Source organism: Homo sapiens, chromosome 12 (assembly GCF_000001405.40).
Source record: "Homo sapiens chromosome 12, GRCh38.p14 Primary Assembly".
Lineage (NCBI taxonomy): Eukaryota > Metazoa > Chordata > Mammalia > Primates > Hominidae > Homo > Homo sapiens.
In genome coordinates this window covers 12,442,297-12,461,343 of record NC_000012.12, presented here as the reverse complement: position 1 = coordinate 12,461,343, position 19,047 = coordinate 12,442,297, and the positions used below count along the sequence as shown (strand labels likewise).

Here is a 19,047-nt window from a genome sequence, read left to right as displayed (position 1 = left end):
AATAAAAATTAGCCAGGTGTGATGGAACACACCTGTAGTCCCACCTGCTCCAGAGGCTGAGGTGAGAAAATTGCTTGCTCTCAGGAGGTCCAGGCTGCAGTGAGCTGTGATCACACCGCTACACTCCAGCCTGGAAAAAAAGAGCAAGGCCCTATCCCAGGGGGAAAAAAAAAAAAAAAAAAGAATGCAATAAAGCCTTTGTCTTCAAGGAACTCATCATTTACTCAAGCTCATACTTCAAACTTTGCCCTACAGATTCATATACCATCTCTGGGGCAGTCCATTTCAAAGGACAAGTGAAAAAGAAGGGGAGGTTATTTGAGCATAGAACTGCAGGCCTCACTAAGGTTATTAGGCATCTGTAGAATGTGCTCAAAGTTGTTCCAAATACCTTATATGGATGGTGCGGGCCCATCTGCCTACTTGGCTGGTCCACTCAGTACATGAACTCAAAATATTAACAAATAAAATCCAGAAATATACAAAAAGGATAATACATTATGACCAAGCAATGCTTATGTCAAGGAGACACACTTTTTCGACATCTGAAAAATCAATCAAAGTAACTTGCCATTTCAACAGAATAGAGGTTAGAAATCTATGATTGTCTCAATGGATATAAGAAAAAGCACTCAAAAAACTGAACATGCATTTATTATGGAAATTTTCAGCAAAGTAGGAACAGAAGGAAACTTCCTCAACCTGATAAAGTGCATCTATGAAAAACTTCCAGCTGACAATACAGTTATTGGTGAAAGACACTTTTCTCCCTAAGATTAGGAACAAGGCAAGCATGTCTACACTCTTACCACCTCTATTCAACATTGTACTATATGCAGTAGCCAATGCAATAAATTAAGTAAAAGGCAAAGAAATTAGAAAGGAATAAGCAAAAGGGTCTTTATCTGCAGATGACATGATAATACACTTAGAAAATCTTTAAAAATCTACTAAAAACTACTAAAGTGAAGTTAGCAAGGCTGCAAGATACATGGTCAGCATACAGAAATCAATTGTATTTCTACATAACAATGAATGACAGGACAGTGGAATAAAAGAATACTATTTACAACTGCGTCGGCAACATGAAATACTTAGGGAAAAATTCAGCAAAATATGTATAAGATCTGTACACTGATATTACAAAACATCGCTCTGAAAAACTAAAAGGGATCTCAAGAAATGAAGTATATCATGTTCATGGATTGTCAGATTCAACACGGTCAAGGTGCTGATGCTTGCCAAATTGATTAAGAGGTTCATTTGCAATCCAAGTAAAAAGTCTAGAAGGCATTGTTTTACAGGAATTGGTAAGCTGATTCTTAGTACACAGAATGGCCAAAATAATTGAAAGAACAAAGTTTGAAGACTTACAGTACTTGATTTCAGGACTTACTATAAAACTACAGTAATCAGGATAGTGTGGTGCTGGCATAGAGACACACAGATCCATAAAACAAAAGACAGTGTAAAAATGATCTAAAAATATATTGTTAATTGATTTTTTTATTGTTGTTACAAAGATCTCAAGGCAATTTAATGGGGGAAAAAAGTTTTTCAACAATTTGTGCTAGAATATCTAGATATCCACAAAGAGAAAGAATGAACCTGGAGCCTTACATCTCACAGTGCATACACAAGAAATTAATATGGAATGGATCACAGACCTAAATATGGAAGCTAAAACTATAAAACTTCTAGAAGAAAATATAGGAGAAAAATCTTTGCTACCTTGGCTGGACTCAGTGGCTCACGCCTGTAATCCCAGAGCTTTGGGAGGCTGAGACGGGTGGATCATCTGAGGTCAGCAGTTCGAGACGAGCCTGACCAACATGGTGAAATCCCGTCTCTACTAAATACAAAACATTAGCTGGAGGTGGTGGTGCATGCCTATAGTCCCAGCTACTTGGGAGGCTGAGGCAGGAGAATCACTTGAACCTGGAAGGTAGAGGTTGCAGTGAGCCGAGATTATGCCATTGCACTCCAGCCTGGGCAACAAGAGCAAAACCCTGTCTTTAAAAAAAAAAAAAATTGCTACCTTGGGGTATGCAAAGATTTCTAAGTTTCAAAAAGTGTTAACCATAAAATAAAAATGGTTAAATTGATTTTCATCAAAACTAAAAACTTCTCTTAAAAAGATACCATTAAGGCCGGGTGCGGTGGCTCATGCCTGTAATCCCAGAAGTTTGGGAGGCCAAGGCAGGTGGATCACCTGAGGTCAGGAGCTCGAGACCAGCCTGACCAACATGGAGAAACCCTGTCTCTACTAAAAATACAAAATTAGTCGGGCCTGGTGGCACATGCCTGCTAATCCCAGCTACTTGGGAGGCTAAGGCAGGAGACTATCTCTCTCTTTTTTTTAATTCTTTTTTGAGACGGAGTCTGGCTTTGTCACCCAGGCTAGAGTGCAGTGGCGCGATCTTGACTCACTGCAACCTCCACCTCCCAGGTTCAAGCAATTCTCCTGCCTCAGCCTCCCGAGTAGCTGGGATTACAGGCGTGTGCTACCATGCCCAGCTAATTTTTTGTACTTTTAGTAGAGATGGGGTTTCACCGTGTTAGCCAGGATAGTCTCAAGCTCCTGACCACATGATCCACCTGCCTCGGCCTCCCAAAGTGCTGGGATTACAAGCGTGAGCCACCGTGGCCAGCCAGGAGAATCTCTTGAACCCAAAAGGCAGAAGTTGCAGTGAGTCAAGATCGCACCACTGCCCTCCAGCCTGGGTGACGGAGCGAGACTGTCTCAAAAAAGAAAAAAAAAAAAAGGAAAGAAAAGAAAAGAAATAAAATGAAAAGGCAAGCAGCAGACTGAGAACATTTCATAATATTTTATTCCCTATGAAAATAATGGGCAAAAATAAACAAAGAAAGAAAAAATTTCACTATATATCAAATGACAGTCTTACATCCAGAATGAATATATCAATAACTCTTATAATTCAACATTAAGAAAAAATCCAAAATTTGGGATTGTTTCAGGAGAACTGAAAACATTACTGAATTATTGTTCTTGAGGGGGAAATATGGGCTAGAAATGGGTTAGAGGCTCAGGGAAAAGTCCTGCAGGAGATCACCTGGAAGTGGGATCTCACCTTCTTGGGACAAAGGAGCCAAGGAGGTGTTAAGAGTAAAACTATTAACAGTGTGAAGCTTGTGCCCTTGGGCACTGTTAAGCAAGATGGACTACAGATCAGGAAAACAAAACAAAACAAAACAAAACAAAAAACAGTAGGCAGATGTTACCCAGACAATTGTCACAACAGAACTCCTTTGCTAAAGCCCTGACACAGTGTGGAAAGAAAAAAATTCTGTTCAGTTTTCAAATTCCTCTAAGGACTCTGGAGACTTCTAGCTTATGACCACGGTTATCCCGAATCCTATCCTTTGTCTCTGGATAGTTACTGCTGCCAAATGAGGAGCGGCTATTCATGACACTGATGCCCACTGAGGCTGTACATCTAACCTCAGAGGGCCCTGTTTCAGGGAAGCAGCTGTCCTGCCTGAGCTGGAGTGGCAGAACAGAACTCAATTGCCTTCAGATCCACTGGCTTAAATTTGCAATGGTTCAAGATTGAGCCAGAGCTTTTACCTCCTCTGTGGGCAGACTACCCAGACCCTGCAAATGACCTGTTTAGACATCTGAAATCATTCCTGAGCTCAAGCTGAGTGACTCAGAGTTTGTGGGGAGGGGAGAGAGCTTCTATGGAGTGCAGTGGCGCGATCTCGGCTCACTGCAGGCTCTGCCCCCCGGGGTTCACGCCATTCTCCTGCCTCAGCCTCCCGCGTAGCTGGGACTACAGGCGCCCACCACCTCGCCCAGCTAATTTTTTGTATTTTTAGTAGAGATGGGGTTTCACCGTGTTAGCCAGGATGGTCTCGATCTCCTGACCTCGTGATCCGCCCGCCTCGGCCTCCCAAAGTGCTGGGATTACCGGCGTGAGCCACCGCGCCCGGCCAAACATTCCAGTTTTCTAACTAAAATATACATACATCGCTTATGGATAACGACAGTAGCATCAGACAGAACTGAGTCAAAATCTTGCTTCTGCAGATGACTGATTACCTTCATGACCTTAAGCCAGTTACTTAACCTTGCTGACCCTCAGCTGCTCTGTCCCCTAAAATTGGTGAAATTGACAATGCCTACGTCATAGGGTTGACGTGAGAATTAAATGAGATAAAATGTATAAAACTCCTAGAACAGTTCCCAGGAAAAAGGAGCTCCATAAGTGATAAAATATATGTGAACTGAAACAGAAACTCTGTCTAGAAACCTCTTTTACATGAAGAATGAAAAAGCAAGATAAGAAATGTAGTACATGAAAGCAGAATAAAAAACCGAATGACATTTTGTGATATCCAAATAGACACAACATATCTATTGTGAAGGCAGGAGCTTATGTGGACGCCTCATCTCGGTTACATTAACTATCTTCAAGGCTTACACAATCACTCAGATGACAACTTACCATTGTGTTTTTTGCTGACATGTTTTATTTTTGTTCTGTACTTCTGCTACTGAAAATCTTACAGCAGAGTCACATTACTCATCCCACAGTTTCCTGATAGAATCATTTCGCACTACGTAATAACTGAAATCATTATTTACCTACAAGTCCTTCCATGTGTTTTTAATCTATATGTTTAGCCATGAGAATAACTATTACCACTGTTTGATGCTATCCAATATGGTAAAAATAAAAATACATAGGCGTACATGCGTACATGTATATTTTTCAAAAAATATTTTGAAAGCAAAACCAAAAGCTTTAATAAATGATATCCTCTCCAACAAGAGAGTACGGTGCTTCAAAAACTTTTGTTATATAAATTTTCCTCATAAAATAAGCTTTGATGCTGGTTTGAGGCAGATGGGTCATCCTATGAAAGATGTCACTGTGGTTTGTTATTTGGAGACAGGGTCTCGCTCTGTTGCCCAGGCTGGAGTACAGTGGCCTGATCATAGCTCACGGGAGCCTTGAACTCCTGGGTCCGAGCAATCCTCCCATCTCAGCTTCCTGAGTAGCTGAGACTACAGGCACATGCCACCATGCCTGGCTAATTTTTATTTTTTGTGGAGATGGGGTCTCAAGATGATGCCCTGGCTGATCTCCAAACTCCTGGCCCAAGCCATCCACCCGCTCAGCCTCCCAAAGTGTTGGGATTACAGGCATGATCTACCACACCTGGCCTCACTATGCTTGATGTAGTTCTTTTCAAAGTAAAGGTAAATTTTCCAAATTAGTGACATACTACAAGGGCTTATTTTAAGTTAGAAAAGATGTGCAACATAACAGTAAGAACTTCATAAAGATAGTGTACAACTTTTAAATTCTAAAAACTTAAGATGTAGATATGCATGAAATGATCAAAAGCAAATTTAATAACCCTCATGGTCAAAAGAAAAATGAGTAGGTAAGCTGTGTTTCACAGTTAACAAAATTCACATCCATATGATCAATAGACTTATTTTTCTATCCCCAAAATACTTAAGTTTAAAAGAAATGTTAAAAACAAAAAAGACTGCATATGGACTTAATCAAGACTGCTTTTTTTTTTTTTTTTAAGACCGAGTCTCACTCTGTTGCCCATGCTGCAGTGCAGTGCCACAATCTCAGCTCATTGCAACCTCCACCTCCTGGGTTGAAGCAATTCTCCTGCCTCAGCCTCCCAAGTAGCTGGGATTACAGGTGTGTGCCACCACGCCTGGCTAATTTTTATATTTTTAGTAGAGACAGCGTTTCACCATGTAGGCCAGGTGGTCTCGAACTCCTAACCTCAGGTGATCTGCCCTCCTCGTCCTTCCAAAGTACTGGGATTACAGACGTAAGCCACTGTGCCCAGCTCAAGACGGCATTTAAAAAGTCACTCATCTTTCCCACCCTTTAAAGGTAATGTTTAGCTTTTAATGTGGTGTCTGTCAGTTAATGTTAGTCTCAAGGTCAATTTTTATTTGATCTCAATAGATATCTCACTTTCTCTGCACTCGTTCTACATTTAAATTCCTGTTCCCCAAGGATGTCAGTTTAGGAATATGGAGGCTGGGAGGAGGAGGCATGATGGATGGTTCAAGGTCAGCTAACCAAAGGCTGCCTCTTTTTAGGGTTCTAAATCCATTCCCAGCTTTGTTCTTTCTTTGGGTGGATTTCCTTCTGGGTTCAAAATGTAATGAGCAGGCAGTGATATGTAATTCTGCTCTTTTATTGTAAGTACTTTGTAGCTAAAGAGGCTAAATGGAAAAGTAACAATTCATCCTGTTTTACAGCTATTCAAATAATACATTCTGAAGTCAGTAACAATCTGTTATTTGAAGATGGGCATATTGCTGATTTTTAGCAATGTAAGCTCACCCTTCAAATCCCTGACATCACTAATAATTCATTACCATTAACAAAGTAAGTCAGAAGGCCTGAATTTAAATTCTACTAGTTGGTGAACTTGGGCAAATCACAAGCTGACTCTCAGCTTCTACTTTTTAAAAGTGGGGATAATAATGGCTAATATTCATCCTACCTCACGGCAGTGTTGTAATGGTTATAATGAGATAATATATGTAGGATGATCTGAAAACAGAACACTGCTATAAACATGTATGTTTATATTATTCTAACAATGAATGGCAAAGTATGCTTGGAAGTTCTGTTTTTCATGGTAGTAAAACTAAAAAGTTCCCAAATCATAATCACATTAAAAGAAAACTGCTACATATTTTATATAAAGCTTCAATATCCACCCTTCTCAGATGTTTCTGAAATTCAGAACTACCAATTCTCCCAATTAGGAAGCAGTCAGCCTAACTATATAAATCAGTACTGTCCCTAGGGCAAAATCTGGCCTTGGAATTATAACTGAAGCCATTTATCCAAAGAAGATATACAAATGGCCAGTAAACACAGGAAAAGATGTTCAACATCACTGGACATTAGAAAAGTGCAATCAAAAGCAGAAAGAATACAACTTCACACCCACTGGGATGGCTCAAATTAAAAGGCAGACAATGACAAATGTTAGTGAGGGTGTGAAGAAACTGGAACCCCTGTGCATTGCTGGTAAGCATGTAAAATGGGACAGTCATTTTGAAGAGCAGTTTGGCCGTTTCTCAAAAAGTTAAACATAAAGTTACTATACAGCCAGCAATTTCACTTCACATGTATTCCCAAGAGAAGTAAATTATATGTTCACCCAAAACCTTGTACACAAATGTTTATAGCAGCATTATTCATAATAGGCAAAAAGTAGACACAACCCAAATATCCATCCACTGAAAAATGGATAAACAAAATGTGGTCTATTCATAGAATAAAATATTGTTCATCCATAAAAAGATATGAGATACTGATATAAGCTACAACATGGATAAACCTTGAAAACATTATGCTAAGTAAAAGAAACCAGACACAAGGGCCACATATCACATGATTCCCTTTATATGAAATACCCCCAACAGGCAAGTCCAGAGAGACAGAAAGGAGACTGGTAGTTGCCAGGGGATAGGGGAATAGAGGTATGGGGAGTGACTGCTGATGTACATAGAGTTTCATTCTAGGCAGATGAAAATGTTCTGGAATTACATAGTGGTGTAGCTGCACAATCTTGCAAGAATACTAAAACCACTGAAATGCACACTGTAAAAGGGTGAACTACGTGAATGATAACTCAGTTTTAAAAAATAATAAAATAAGTGTATTCAAATACATTCAATTCCTTCTCCCAGACCCCCGACAGATACCAGTAATGCATCATGGTTATTCTTTAAATCTGACTTGGACTCAGAACCCTTCCTGACACTGAACCCCAGATGGCCACTTTCGAGTTTACGAAGATGAAGAAACCTATTTGGGAATCCAGGACTAGGCACTATGAAAGTGGCTCTAAAACAAATTGTTGAGGCTAAGTAAAACATTTTTAATCCTAAAGGAAGGTGGTAGCTGAGTCTGCAAGAGGAACAGTCCAAGGTAAAAAGCTGTGTTCATAAGATCCTGGATCTTTACATTAGCCATACCATGCATCGACTAACCCCAAAAGGAAGCGTGAGATGCCAGTTCTCAGCAATTTCCTTGAACCTTTAAGCCTGCTTATTTTTAAATGGACTCATACTGACAGCATTCATTTTTTAAAAAATAAAAACTATATATTTACAGCACACATGTTTTGACATACATATACATAGTGAAATGATTTCTATAGTCATGCTAATTAAAATATCCACCTCCTCACATACTTACCATTTTTTGCTTCTGACACCTTCTTCAAGACCTTTCTTCCAGTTTGCAAACCCGGTGCTTGTGTTTTTATACATCGGCTATCCCGATTTGGTCTTTGACTCATGGTATTAGCTGTCTCCACTCCGAAGAGTAGGAGGCCCATTGCCACAAATCAAGATATGGCACGTTCTAGCCCACCTGCCACCTCTATCCCCACCAGACCATGGCTACTTGACCTGCAGTAGAGATTCAGACAGATTATAAAGGTTAGGGTATGACAGGCTGCAACAAAACCTTTCAGGGTCAACTATGTGCTTTCTGGCTGTCCGACCCTCTCCAGATCACCACTCCCATGGAGGGTTTGGGAGTATGAATCTTTCCTGGACGCCTCTCTCTAGCACAATGGACAACAATGGGCAAATGTTTTCCTTAATTACGCCACAGGCTGAATGGCACCAATTACCACATTCTGGACACTTTGAAGTGACCTTGTTTCTGAAGACAGTAGTTTGCAATGGCAGCCTGTAAGAATAAACTCTTGCCGGCGTGCGGGAGGGAGTGGGTGGGGAAGGATCGCCGGCAAGATCACGAGGCGAGGCTTGCGCGCCGGCCCGCACCCTGGCCCCCAGTGCCTACCCGGTGGGCCCGACCCAGCCACGATCAAGGCGATCCTAATCTTAACAATCATGGGAAACCGCGGCTCTCCAAGTTCTACCAGCCCTATGGATTTGTGGAAACATTAGACAAATGTTTTGAAAATGTTTGTGAACTGGATTTGATTTTCCATGTAGACACGGTTCACAATATTCTTGCAGAAATGATGATGGGGGAATGGTATTGGAGACAAACATGAATGGGATTGTTACACAAATTGGTGCACAAAATAAGCTGGAAAAATCTGAGGCTGGCTGAGGGGGAGCTTCAGCCTGTGCTGAACCTGTATCAGCTGTAAAAAATGTGAATCTTCCTGAGATCCCAAGAAATATTAACATTGGTGACATTACTATAAAGTGCCAAACCTGCCCTCTTTTAAATAAAAATTTAAAAAGGCTACTCCCAGGTAAAATCCAGGGGGGAAAGTCACGTAAGTTTACCAAAAATAGAGGAGGACAGTCAAGTTTTGCTCTTGGATTTAAGTCAAGGTACTGTATAAAAGCTGTGTAAAATCAATATGAAAGTTCAATGCTGCTTTCCTTTTTTTTTTTTTTTTAATTTTTTTTTTTGAGAAAGAGTCTCGCTCTGTCGCCAGGCTGGAGTGCAGTGGTGCGATCTCGGCTCACTGCAAGCTCCGCCTCCTGGGTTCACGCCATTCTCCTGCCTCAGCCTCCTGAGTAGCTGGGACTACAGGCGAGCGCCACCACGCCCAGCTAATTTTTGTACTTTTAGTACAAAAAAAGTACTTTTAGTATTTTTAGTACAAAAATTAGACGGGGTTTCACCATGTTGGCCAGAATGGTCTTGATCTCTTGACCTCGTGATCCGCCCGCCTCGGCCTCCCAAAGTGCTGGGATTAGAGGCGTGAGCCACTGCGCCCAGCCAGTTCAATGTTGCTTTTCTTGCTCAGTGATTTTAAGGAAATTGAGTAGTTCCTATGTGATTTATTTATTTTTCTAAACTGCATTCCTGTGCCTACCTACGGCATGCCTCTATGTATTGGCTACTACAGTGTTTTAAAAAGTGTTTGAGATATTTCTTTAATTATGTACAACCTAAAGTGTTGGTGTTTTGTATGGATCACAAGTGCGGCATTCCTTAATTCCTTCTGCTGTTTGTCACACAATTGTTAAAGAACCAGATATGTATCGCATGAAAACATTATGACGTTTTTCTCTTAGTTTAAATAAACTCCAAGGTAACTGGACTTCTAAAGCACCTTTCTGTTTGCCTGATACCTACTTTAGCAATAATTTTTTTTACAACCCTCTGACTCAACAAAGTAAAGTATATTTTATCACTGTTAAAAAAAAAAAAAAGAATAAATTCTTGCCATGTATTCTCATAGGCGTACCTTTGATCTGTCAACCAGAAAAGAGAAATCCCTCTCTGGTAAATCTCACTCCACACACTCTAACAGAAACAAAACTGGCATCCATACTGGAGGACTATTTCTTTTGGTAATCAATGCACATCATATTAGAATGATTTGGTAGATAGAACCCAGTATATAATATACACAAATTCTCTAGTTATTTTAATTATTGTAATAAAATAATGTATAACAGTTACAGCTGCTATCCATTAAGTATCTACTAACTGTCAGATACTGTACTGTGCAGTTTACATACATTATCTTTATACCTCACCACACTCTCATAGGGAAAGTGTCCCTCTCCTATTAGAGATGAGAAATTAGAGATTCAGAGATGAGAAAAGGTGCCCAGGGTCACACAGCTCGTACTAGCAGTGAAGCCAGAATTCAAACCCATGCTTTTCGGCTCCATTTTTGCCTATTTTTTCTAAAGAGCTAATTAATTCAAAAGTCAGCTCATTTCAATTAAATACATACCATGTTGAGCAGTGTGTTTAATGCCTTTTTGAAATCCTTAAGAGATGAATTTAAATGGCAATTTGTTATGCTGTCAAGCGGAATGGAAAAACACTTTGGTGTTTACTTTTCTAATAAAAAAAATAATAAATTACCAGACAAAACATGGACAATTACAAAACAAAAACTGAGAGGAGACCAAAGGGAATAAACTGTTAGCAGATAAACTTAAATGACATTTTCACTGGCAGTTCGTCTGTACATTTTGTACTCTTGACATCTCACTTGTACAAACATTTCACAATTCTTGACCTCACCAAGGGGGCTTAGACAAAGCAATCTTCATCTGTAAAAGGAAGGAGGTGCAAGGGTCCTGAGCAACCCCCTCCTTTTACAGATGAAGGCTGCTCCCAGAGTGGGCAAGCACTATCCCTAAGCTCACACAGCTGGGACTGATGGGGCCAGGACAGAACTCCAGATCTCCTGATTCCAAGGGCCACCACACCTGTCCTAAGCGACCAAAGTCTACCAATGACATTTCCTTTTCCATAGTTTGTTCTACTATGCTTTACCCAATGAATTATAACTGTGTGTGAAAACTATGATCTAAAGTGAAGCTTTTCAAGACAATTATTTCTGACCATAAGGGAAATAAAAATCTATCATTAATCAGTGTCAAAAATCAAATGACAAAATCCAATCAGACATCTCCACGTCCATCAGGAATAGGAACCTGCTCGGTGAGCCTGGATCTGCAGTGAGAAGGGCATCAGTCAAAACTGCACACGTCTGCTTCCTTCTGAATTACGTAAACCTTCCCCGGCTCCTTATTAGTGTACCACCTCCTGTTGCACAATGACAAACAATGAGGCCGACTGTCGCCAATGTTTTCATTAATTACACCACAGGCTGAACGGCATCGATTTCCACATACTGGACATTTTGAAGTCACCCTGTTTCCTTTGTTCAAACAATGTATCTAAATGTCTCAGAAAAAGAACACATTTTATTCAGGTCTTCAAAAGAATTAAGCGATATCAGAACGGCAGGAATTTGAATTGTATGACTGTTCCAATAATTACTTTACGACTTGCCCAGTTTCCCCGATGCCTTCTTACCCTTGGCATCACGTCTAGGTGGGAAAGTGGGACAGAAATCCTAAAACCTTTAAGCAGCTTCCAAAACTAAACAGGCAGATTATACCTCCTCCCCACAAAAGGCCTTGCAAATGGCATTGATGGCAGCAAACCAGGAAAAGAAAAACATCACAAGTAAAAATAAAAGCCTGAGGGACAGAAGTCCCACTCCTCCCGTTCCTTGGGAGAGCTTTCCTCGGGTCCCATGAAAGACAGCGGTGTAGGGCACGTAGACATCTGAGATCTTTTGCCTCCTGGAAAAGGCCCCGTCTGTAACCAAGCACCCCAGCCCTTTCTGACTAATTCGAGGCTCCCTCTCTGCAACCCCTCCAGAGTGGCAGTGGGGAAGGATGAAGCTCCTAGGCATGAGTCCACTCTCTGTCTACCTTCTGTACCACCACAGTCCTCTGAGACACTGTTAAAAAGCCCCATTCTCCAAAGCACGGTTGGAAGTATAAAGAAGTTACCTGCAAGGTAGGCGGAGTTGCCACTTCAAGAACGTAAATGTGGGGTCTTCAGGGCTATTTTAAAGTGTGGTTGCATCCTATAAAGACTGCTTTTGAGATGCTAAGTATACTGTGACACTATGCAGCGAGTATTATAAAGGAATACAGGGTAAGGGAACATGCTTGAACATTGGGCATGAGCAGGAGACAGGATGAAAGAATAAGACCTTAAAGAATTGAAGACACGGCCAGGCACAGTGGCTCACGCCTGTAATCCCAGCACTTTGGGAGTCTGAGGCGGGAGGATCACTAGGTCAGGAGTTTGAGACCAGCCTGGCCAACATGGTGAAACTCTGTCTCTACTAAAAATACAAAAATTAGCCAGGCATGATGGCAGGCGCCTATAATCCCAGCTACTCGGGAGGCTGAGGCAGGAGAATCGCTTGAAACCAGAAGGCAAAGGCTGCAGTTAGCCGAGATCGCCACTGCATTCCAGCATGGGCGAAAGAGCGAAAATCTGTCAAAAAAAAGAAAAAAAAAAAAAAGAATTGAAGACAAGGTCAGGCACGGTGACTCACGCCTGTAATCCCAGTACCTTGGGAGGCCAAGGCGGGCAGATCAACTGAGGTCAGGAGTTCGAGACCAGCTGGCCAACATTGTTAAAACTCATCTCTACTAAAAATACAAAAATTAGCCGGGTGTGGTGGCAGGCACCTGTAATCCCAGCTACTTGGGAAGCTGAGACAGGAGAATCCGTTGAACCCGGGAGGCAGGAGTTGCAGTGAGCCGAGATTGCACCACTGCACTCCAGCCTGGGCCACAAAGAGCAAAACTCCATCTCAAAAAATAAATAAATAAATAAAAATAAAAGAATTGAAGACAATGGACAAAGAGGTGGAAAGGAAGCGCGGCTTTAGAGTTTCGAAGGTGGACGTTAGCTCTGAGCCTGCATCCCAGCTCCACTTCGACAACTGTGTAACCGGGAACACATTCAGGTCTCTGAATCTCAGCTGATCGTGAAATATAGCTGATATATGCAAAATGCCTATTCTAGACCTGGCACATGGTAAACATGTAAAAACGACAGCTGCAACATTATTGCTGCTGTCACTACCACATCAGGTGAGGGGCTGGAGAAGCCTCCACAGATGCAGCAGGTGGATAGTGAAGGAAAGGCTCCAAGCCACGCCACTAACCTGGACTCCCTTTTCCGATGTCCAGAATTAAAGAGAGGTAAAAGTAAGTTTGTGTGACCAAAGTGACACACTTAACATCTTAAAACCTCAGCTAAGGTAATGAAACAATAGAAAACTGGACTATGTGCTCTGTAATTCCCTCGTGTATGCACCCAAACCATGTGTGAACACAACCCCTTTTTGACTCAGAGAACAGAGCTTAGCAGTGGTGCGTGGGTAAATATTTTACAGCTAAAATCCTCCACCCCGTGCCTGAAGAAAGAACCAAGATACCGCACATGGGACAATGATGATATTGGTCTAATGATTTGGTATACTGCCACTGGGGCTGCCTTGTGCTCCCGGGCAGGATGATAGATGGCTGCTCGGGACATCAGGCTGGAGCCTGATCTAGAGTCCAGAGGCCCATGTCATTCCTCATGCAGATGGCTGAGGCACCGACTCAACTTTACCACATAAACGGTTCCAGCAAACACTTCCTGTGCACCAGGGAGGCATAAGGAAGGAGGTCCCTTGTGATCAAGGGAAACCGGGACCTCTGCATGTGCCAGGATGTTGGCGGTTGCTGATGGGAGAGCAGGATTCCTCAGGCAGAGAAGGGGAGCAGACACCAGCAGGAGGGGGCACAGCAGAAGTCAGGGAGCAGGAGTGGAGGCTGGACATTTCAGGCTAGAGCCATGTGAATTTCACGGATTTTGCAGAATACAACTATGACTATTACAATATCTGATGGAGAGGCAGGTGAGTGACAGACTCCAGAGAATCTAAGTCTCAGCAAGGGCAAAGAGAGAATTCGTAAACTTCCAGGTAGAAAGGGGAAGAGAGGAGGCTGGGGGACTTTGGGATACAGGAAGAAACCATCACTGTAATGATGCTGTATTACGCCACTAATGCTCATACTTCTACAGAATAACATTTTGCAATCCCTCCTTGTCTGGCTGCATTTGATATAAATGACTCTTACACCCCCAAAATAATCCTTTCTTTTACATAGCTCCGTATGGTCCTGCAGAGTCCTTCCACATTCATTATGCCTTTTGCTCTGGGCTGCAGGTTGGCTGTCATGGGCAGTTTCCAGCAATGGTGTGAAAGGACCTTAGACAAGTGAAATGCTCTCTACTCATGTGTAAATGAAAACTATGGAGGATCGCCAGGACGTCAACTAAAGTCTTATAATACTATAGTCAGTCTGTCAACGTGGGCAGAAGAAAATTAAATGCTGCTTCAAGCTTTAGGGACACCTCCTGATGAAATCCTTTGGGAGTCCCTGAGATCTAAAACAATTCAGATGTTTTTAAAAGGAGTATAGATCTGCAAGTCTCCTACCAACTAACAACAGAGATAGCAAATAAGACTCTAGTTCAGAACATTCAGATAAACACGACAGTGAGCAGGGTGATAGTAAAGAACAGAATCTTGGGATTTGGGGTTGCCATTGGTCAAATAACCTGATAAATTTCAGATCTAGACAGAGTTATAAAGAAGAGTCTCCTGGCTAGCTCTGTACTGACCAGCAGGTCTTTATATTAAAAGTTCCTTTCTGGGAAGGCCTTCTGTGTCACCCCATGTAAAATTTCTACCCTACTGACATTTTATATCCCCTTACTTTTTTTTTTTATTCTTGTATTTACCATCTTACATGCCATCTATCTTATTTTTTTACCGTGTTTATTGTCTGTGTCCACAATGGAATGTAAGGTCTCTGAAGGAGGGATTCTTGTCTGTTTTGTAGTGATATTTCCTCGACACCTACAACAGGGCCTGACACAGAGCTGACTAGTTCATAAATGAAGCAGACATGTAAAGGCATGTGCGTAAAAAGTTCTCAGAGGCATATTCCTATCCTGGTGAGTCAAAAAGCTGCAGGCAGGGAGATGGAACTCTTATGAGATTCACATACTGTGAGAAAACAAAACAAAACAAAACAAAACAGAAGCTAGGTATGGTGGCTCATGCCTGTAATCCTGGCATTTGGGAGGCCATTGTGGGAGGACTGCTTGAGGCCAGGAGTTCAAGGTCAGTCTGGGAAACCTAGCGAGACCCTGTCTCTACAAAAAAAAAAAAAAAAAATTAAAGTCAGCTGGGCATAGTGTCACGCACCTGTAATCCTAGCTACTGGGGAGGCTGGGGCAGGAGGATCACTTGAGCCTAGGAGTTTGAGGCTGGAGTGAGCTATGATTGTGCCACTGCACTCTGGCCTAAGTGACAGAACAAGACACTCTCTGTAAAAAAATTAAATTAAAAAATAAAAGAGCAAGTACCAGGCCCTACTCCAGACCCACTGGCTCAGAATCTCTGAAGATGGAGCCTACCCATCAGTTTAAAAAAAAAAAAAAAAAAAAAAAAAGGTATTTCAAATTGAAAAAAAAAAAAAAAAAAAGCAATGCATGTTCAAGATAGAAATCTTGTAAAATACAGAAAAACAGAAGCAGGCTAAAACAAAATACCACTGATAATCTCATCTCTAAAGGGCAACCACAATTAAGTCACTGTCATGTTACCTTCTGTCTAATCATTTATTAAGAATATTTAACATAGGCAGGCACGATGACTCGCACCTGTAATCCCAGCACTTTGGGGAGGTGGGTAGGAGGATTGCTTGAGGCCAGGAGTTCAAGACCAGCCTGGGCAATATGGCAAGACACTGTCTCTACAAAAAAATTTAAAAATTAGCCAGGTAGGTGGCACACCTGTAGTCCTGGTTACTTGAGAGGCTGAAGTGGGAGGATCACTTGAGCCCAGGAGTTTGAGGCTACCGGAAGCTATGATTGTGGTATTGCACTCCAGCCTGGGCAACAGAAGGAGACCAGGGAGACCCTGTCTCTAAAACAAGATTGTTCGGCCGTGGGCTGCATGCAGTCCAGGACAGCTTTGAGTGTGGCCTAATATAAATTTGTAAGCTTTCTTAAAATATTATGAGTTTTTTTTGTTGTTGTTGTTTTTAAGCTCATTAGCTATCCTCAGCATTAATATGTTTATGTGTGGCCCAAGACAATTCTTCCAATGTGGCTGGGAAGCCAAAATATTGGACAACCCTGCTCTAAAATAAACAAACAGAATATTTAACACAGTTGAAATCATATTGAATATAAACTATTATAGCTTGATTTTTTTTTAACTTATTGTTAGATCTGTTCCTAATGTCACTTGGTTTTCATTGGCAGGAGGACTTAAACCAAGCAAAATTTACCATGGAACCTTGCATCAGGCCTTCTGAATCTCAAAGCTGGGCTGCAGATGCATTTTAGGAATCTAAGTTCGAAGATGACACAGATGTTCAAAATTTAGTGTACCCCTGGGCACACAATAGACTGTATTTCCCAGCCTCTTTGGAGTTAGCTGTGGCCATGTAATTGAGTTCTAGCCGAAGTCATAGGCAACACTCATAGGTTTGGCCCGTAAGAACCTCCTAACTGTGCTAGTCCACTCTTTTTTCCCTTTTGCCACTGGACACTATCAGCAAGGTGGTCTTTGGGGACGGCAGAGCCACAAGATAGAAGGAAACTGAGTCCCTGAACTCAATGGAGGAGAGTCACCTGCTAACCAGAAACACCCACCTTGAACAAGAGCAACAAATAAACTTCTGTTGCATTTGATCCATTACACATCTTTGAGTCTACTTACAGCTGTAGCCTAGCTTACTCTACCTAATGCAACCCTCATAACCTTTATTTTCTCTGATAGAATGAGAAAACTTATCAGTCCCTAGGATGAGATAATTGAAGAATATAAAGTTGTTCATTAAACAAGTATTTATTCAACATCTACTACATGCCAGGCATTGTTCTAGGCACTGCAGCAATGTTCAATTTGCTAAAATTCTTGTTTCTCTTCATTGGAAGTGATACAGGACAGGGAATATCTTTTCCCAGCCCTGGTTTCATTTCCATAACCCAGGAGCCCTCAATACTGGCTAGTTGGCTTAGAGACTACAGGTGCTCTGGGGTTCCTCACAAGAGAGGAGGCTGCATGGGACCTCTGACACTGCCCGCTCTGGTGGACTGGAAATGAGCAGGGGAGGGAGAAGAACAGGGGCTCTAGAACCTGGCACTGGGAAAGCTGGCAGAGCCAGCTGTCTGAGGGCATGTCTAGGGCAGGCAAACTGGGGGGAAATGGGGCTGCTGTTCACACATGCTCATATGTCATTGTCCAAAAGCGGAATGGAGTTAAATCTCAGAGCAGTCAAATAACCGGGCTCTGCTCATGCCTTGCCAAAAAACACAAGCCTACATTTCCAACAGGCAAGTAATAAACTAGATTCGGCCCTCTTCCAGGATTTCTGGCTTTTGGCAGGACAGTGCTGGTGCAAAGGAAGTGTGGGGCCAGGCCCAAGGAAGCCCTGTGCAGCATACCTTACAGTCCGCCGAACCAGAAGCAGCCCACTCCCCCACCTGGATTTCCTGCCACCCAGGGGACCAGTTGTATTTCTTACAGAAAAGAAAGGTTGCCCAAAGGACAAGAAGGGGGGAAACTATAATTACACTGTAAGGTTTCAACCTGGAATTGATGCCAGAGTAACTTGTGACATTCTATGGGAACATAAAATTTTCTTGAAATGTCTTGCCTCAGGATTTCAGCAAAAAGAAGCCGACATCTCAATGTTCTTGTCAAAATTTGCAGCTTTGCAATAGGTACTCCCAACTCATTTTATAATTTCAGGTCAAGAAAGAAGCAACTGAAGCCAAAATATATTTAAAAGCGGCCACAGGACTCTAACAATGTTGTCATTTAAAGGAGATTCGGTTCACAGTGTCAGGGCGATAGCAACAGTTTCACCTGGCCAACAGCTCACGCTAACCAGGCTTTTAACCAAAGGAGCTCAAAGTGAATGCTAATGCCAGTTCAGACAGTGATGCTCTGTGCAACACTCGGAACTACTCATTTAATCTGGATCAGTCTCTCTCCCTGGGAGGACACACAGTACAGGAAGTCAGGTCAAATACTTGGAAAATGACTCCAGCTGGGTCTTAAACATTACGGTACCGATGACAGAAAGAAATCCCTGCCCAGCCCTGTGTGCAGGCCCATGAATGGCAACTCTCGTGCATTCCTTCAAACACCAGTTGAGGACCTACCATGTAAAAAAAGGAATAACCAAAAATGAAATGAAGGACTCCAAAGAGGCAGAACATAAGTAGTATGGTGCAGTGGAAAAGATGACTCACCTTCTAATACCATCTTAGTCATTATCTAATGGAAAGATACCCAGCAAATCCCATATACACTCGAAGATCCTTGGTTTCTTTATTTGCACAATGAAAGGGCTAAATTAGAGAAACCTTAGGGCCTCTTCATAATCCTGTGTAATCATATGGCTTTCCAAGGATTGCAAGTTTTTCTTACCAGTTCATCTGAACCCCCTCCATGCTTCATACTGGTTTATGTCAATACACTATGCTTATCAACACATCTAAGAATTAAAACAGGAGTTACTAGAATCATATCATGAATGTACTCTCAAGGCCTTCAAGCAAGCACACAGGAACTGTAACAAAATAAAGCTTGTGGCTTTATCTTAGTTACAAAGGCGTTCTAATCTATGACACATTTACCCACTGACAGCAACTAGAATGAGGCAGA

At 41.9% G+C, this 19,047-nt stretch overlaps 1 protein-coding gene and 1 pseudogene across 6 annotated transcripts in view, besides 2 other annotated features; one reads left to right on the top strand and one right to left on the bottom strand.

The window, feature by feature from the left end:
• BORCS5 (BLOC-1 related complex subunit 5) overlaps positions 1-19,047 on the bottom strand; it is a 114,156-nt gene that overhangs the window by 9,890 nt on the left and 85,219 nt on the right. The gene's annotated exons all lie outside the window — the stretch shown is intronic.
• Positions 3,588-4,266: an enhancer, noted in NCBI's record as "H3K4me1 hESC enhancer chr12:12610012-12610690 (GRCh37/hg19 assembly coordinates)". NCBI's record gives its function as "activates a minimal SCP1, AML or CMV promoter by ChIP-STARR-seq in naive H9 embryonic stem cells {active_cell/tissue: H9 hESC(naive)}" and the evidence as "EXISTENCE:reporter gene assay evidence [ECO:0000049][PMID:30033119]".
• On the top strand, positions 8,669-10,277 carry AP3S1P3 (AP3S1 pseudogene 3; annotated as a pseudogene).
• Positions 15,097-15,266: an enhancer, noted in NCBI's record as "experimental_25257 CRE fragment used in MPRA reporter constructs". NCBI's record gives its function as "activates a minimal promoter by MPRAs in K562 erythroleukemia cells, with activity observed for the introgressed 12:12599097 variant allele {active_cell/tissue: K562}" and the evidence as "EXISTENCE:reporter gene assay evidence [ECO:0000049][PMID:34662402]".